Below are 4,870 nucleotides of genomic sequence, written 5' to 3'. Positions count from 1 at the left end.
GGTATTTCTTAAATTTTTAATTGAAATAATCCCTAAAAATTATTTGCATGGTCAGTAATAGATGTGGTCAATTAATGAGTACCATTATAAACATGTGGTTACGTAACCTCTAAACCCAAAGATTTATCACAAATAAATAAAGTAGAATCCAAATCCTATGAGAACAAATTACATGCCTCTAGTTTCCCTTTGGAAACAGCTGTACTGAATCAGGTGGATGATGAAGGCCAACTACACTTGGCTTTGAGAGTTGGCTTTAATTAGCATCCATGACTCTCACTAAAATTTATGAGGATAAACTTTCTTTGGACATAATGGTCCCTGCTGTTTTGTTATCTCATGCAATGCTCGTTGGCTTCCGTATTCAAAGTGCTGTAATATGCCCAGGGCCTGTGTAGAGAACATTGGTAGCATCTTCTTGCTAAGGCTTTTCAGGGTTGTAGGATATTTTCTCAGATATATTTAATAGCAAATTTCCACAGAATTTATGAATCATTAAATTAGATGTTTTCTTGCTAGGCAGAAGTAATGTGGGGAATCATTCTGAGTAAAATCCAACATTAAAAAATTTATTATGTGTATTTTCACAAACATTTATACCAGATGGCAGTTACTAAAGGCGATGTAGTTTTATTTATCATAAGTACTAGATAGGCTAAAGTTTTTCAGGTAGTCACCACTATCTGAAATTTGAGATAAACTTAAGCTCTGTGAGGTTCACTTTTATCCTGAAAAGAGGAAAGTCTTTGCAGACGGCTTCAAGACATGCACCTGGGATCCATGAACCGCAATAGTCGTATACTTTCCATTAATTGGCTCTACCTAGAAATTACCCGATGGTGCTCAAAAGATTGGCTGGGATTACTTAATAATCTATAGATGGAGGTGAGACCAAGTTTGATAGGAACCAGTGAAACTTGCTCAGATTATTCAAGAATGTTATAGAATGTGAAATTCCATTCAAACCTACTTTTCAATAGAATAACAGGCTCCATTGAGTAACACTGGCTTGTCAAATAATTTAATGTTTAGTTATTATTAAATTATTTTTTAAGAAAGTTAGAAATTTTCTGATTTGAAATGAAGTAACAATCAGAAGAACTTAAATCATACCAAATGGGCCACCATTTAATTAACTGATTCCATTTTCTTGTTTAACATTCTCATTAATTTACTTATGCCACTTTTGGAGGCCACTTTTAATTTCTATTGAACATGAATAAATGGATAAATGGGTATTTAACAAAGGCTATACGTAATTAGTAGCCTTTACCAATAAATTGCAAACAAGCACCTAACTGGACTTCTTTTCCCATCTCAAAGGAAAAAACCTAAATCACTTTACTCTGAGAAATAAAACTTCATCTGTGAATGTTTGGTTGGGATCTCAATATTTTGCCATTTATAAATAAGATCAGAGAAGCCAGGAGTATATCTTATTTTGATTATTTTCAAGTACAGCTGTTAATTTTGATAAATTTCTATTACAAATAACCATTGAAAATTTTGAAAATACGATTAAATGAAAAATATCCGTAATCGCCAAGGCATAACTACTCTTCATATTTTGGTATATAGCCACTCAGACGTTTTGCTGTATGCGTAACTGTATATAGAAGTATATATGCATTAATGTATAAATTATAGATCTATAAAATCAACAAAGCAATAAGGTAATTAAATGTATAATACAAAATATGGCATAATAAAACATTTTGAAATGAAAACAATTATAATTCTATACTACTACAATTGTTCCCACTTTTAATCTTACCTTCTGGTCTGTATTCATATTGCTACTTAATTATAATTATAAAATTCGTACTTCAACAACTACTTTGATAAGAAAATTGTAACTGCATTTCTGTTGTTTTAAGGGAATTATTTTTTACAAACATTCATTCCCAATTCATACAGGAAGTGAAAAACCACGGCATTTACCTCAGAGGCTTTTTGGGTGACAACTCAGTAGACTTATGAAAAGCAATAACATAAAAAATTCCAAATATCTGATTTCCATGTGGGAAGCAGCTGTTCTTTTTCATGCAATTGAAAGAAAATAAGAAAATCTGTGTGCTCTCTACTCTACCTGGCTTTCTCTGGCTCTGACCATTGAAATCTCATTCCAACTCAGAGGCATCTTTGAGGGTTGGTGATAATAAAGATGCACTTATTAATATTTATTTTGTGACAAGCACTGTGCTATGCAGTTTACAGGTATAACCTAATTTAATTCTCAGAACAGCATTTTAAAGACTAAGAAACTAAGGCTTAGAGAGGTCACATATCTGGTCCACAATCACACAAATAATAAAGGGTAGAGCCAGGATTTTTTTCTCCTTGATGCCAGAGCTTGATCACCAGCACTGTGTTATCCTGCATTCCTCTGGGTAGGTACATTCCACTGCTGATTGGGAGATTAGTAATTGGATGTCTTCTGCTGGAACCTCCATATCCTATCAATTGTCCTCCTATAGCTTGGGGTAAATACTTGTGGCTTTCAGAAAGTGGCCTAGCCTTGGGAAATCTACTCCTGGGAAAGCTCTTGACACACCTTTTTCCCCTAGTGATTCATTATTTTTTTTTTTATTATTATACTTTAAGTTCTAGGGTACATGTGCACAGCATGCAGGTTTGTTACATATGTATACATGTGCCATGTTGGTGTGCTGCACCCATTAACTCGTCATTTACATTAGATATATCTCCTAATGCTATCCCTCCCCCAGCACCCCCACCCCACAACAGGCCCCGGTGTGTGATGTTCCCCATCCTGTGTCCAGGTGTTCTCATTGTTCAATTCCCACCTATGAGTGAGAACATGCGGTATTTGGTTTTCTGTCCTTACGATAGTTTGCTGAGAATGATGCGTTTCCAGCTTCATCCTTGTCCCTACAAAGGGCATGAATTCATCCTTTTTTATGGCTGCATAGTATTCCATGGTGTATATGTGCCACATTTTCTTAATCCAGTCTATCATTGATGGACATTTGGGTTGGTTCCAAGTCTTTGCTATTGTGAATAGTGCCACAATAAACATACATGTGCGTGTGTCTTTATAGCAGCATGATTTATAATCCTTTAGGTATATACACAGTAATGGGATGGCTGGGTCAAATGGTATTTCTAGTTCTAGATCCTTGAGGAATTGCCACACTGTCTCCCACAATGGTTGAACTAGTTTACAGTCCCACCAGCAGTGTAAAAGTGTTCCTATTTCTCCACATCCTCTCCAGCACCTGTTGTTTCCTGACTTTTTAATGATCACCATTCTAACTGGTGTGAGATGGTATCTCATTGTGGTTTTGATTTGCACTTCTCTGATGGCTGATGACGATGAGCATTTTTTCATGTGTCTGTTGGCTGCATAAATGTCTTCTTTTGAGAAGTGTCTGTTCATATACTTCACCCACTTTTTGATGGGGTTGATTTTTTCTTGTAAATTTGTTTAAGTTCTTTGTAGATTCTGGATATTAGCCCTTTGTCAGATGGGTAGATTGCAAAAATTTTCTCCCATTCTGTAGGTTGCCTGTTCACTCTAATGGTAGTTTCTTTTGCTGTGCAGAAGCTCTTTAGTTTAATTAGATCCCATTTGTCAATTTTGGCTTTTGTTGCCATTGCTTTTGGTGTTTTAGACATGAAGTCCTTGCCCATGCCTACATCCTGAATGGTATTGCCTAGGTTTTCTTCTAGGGTTTTTATGGTTTTAGGTCTAACATTTAAGTCTTTAATCCATCTTGAATTAATTTTTGTGTCTTGGCTAAGTACCTTGAACTAATTCCCCATGCAGACTCAGTCATTATCTACTTCTACCTTATTTCTTCCCCCTAGATCTGTTTATGTCTTCCCTCAAATCAACCTGCATATACTTATCTCATCTTCAATTTCTTAGCCATTTGAGACATTTGAGGGGTCCTCAGAAATTTCCAAAGCGAGTCAGTTCCCCAAAAGCAGTCCATATAGTTTTCTAGTTGCTGAGGTCAACATTTTTGGAGTCGATTGCAACACAGTGAACACTTGAAAAAATGAATGGATTTCACCTCACACTTTTTGAAGTATAATCATTTTAGGATGCTACTCATTACTTCGGAAATAGAGTGCTCAATAATGCAAGCCATTTTTAAAATGATACTTAAAATTTAGCTGATATATTTTAATAATCCATGTTATATATTAACACTTGACCCCAGAACTGAATTCATCTCAAAATTATGAAATAATTATGGAAGTTAAATAATCAAATAGGCAATAAGACAAATAAAACAACTTATATATACATAAACACACACATATACATACATTTCACTTGTTTTGGTCTAGGTCAATTTCTGACTGTCAACATTCCATACCTTGGCTATGTAACATCTTATACAGAATGTTCAGAAGCAAAATAATGCAATTTTTGGCTTCCTATTTCCTTTTAGTTGTCCTGATTTCTGAGGTTTCTTCCCTGCCTGAGCTAGGCTATCGATAGTTTTTTAACCTATGATTACAAGGTCAAAAATCAATTTCCCCAAAGTGGCCGAAAATCGATTTGTTATTGTTTTAGATACCATATATAAGTGAACTCATGAAGCTTTAAAAATGTCAAATTCATATAAACAAAGTAGAATGATGGTTACCAGGGGCTGGAGAAAGGGAGATATGGGAAGATGCTGATCAAAAGGTATAAAGTTTTTGTTATTCAGGATAAATAAGTTCTGGAGATCTAATGTACAACAATGTGGCTATAGTTAACAATAATGTATCATATTGCATATGTGAAATTTGCTAAGAGGGTAGATCTTCAGTGCTCCTACCAGGTAAAAAAGTAACTATGTGAGATCATGAATGTGTTAATTAGCTTGACTGTAGTGAATATTTAACAATG

This window comes from Homo sapiens, chromosome 6, assembly GCF_000001405.40.
Source record: "Homo sapiens chromosome 6, GRCh38.p14 Primary Assembly".
Classification (NCBI taxonomy): domain Eukaryota; kingdom Metazoa; phylum Chordata; class Mammalia; order Primates; family Hominidae; genus Homo; species Homo sapiens.
Note: the sequence above shows the minus strand (reverse complement) of the source record.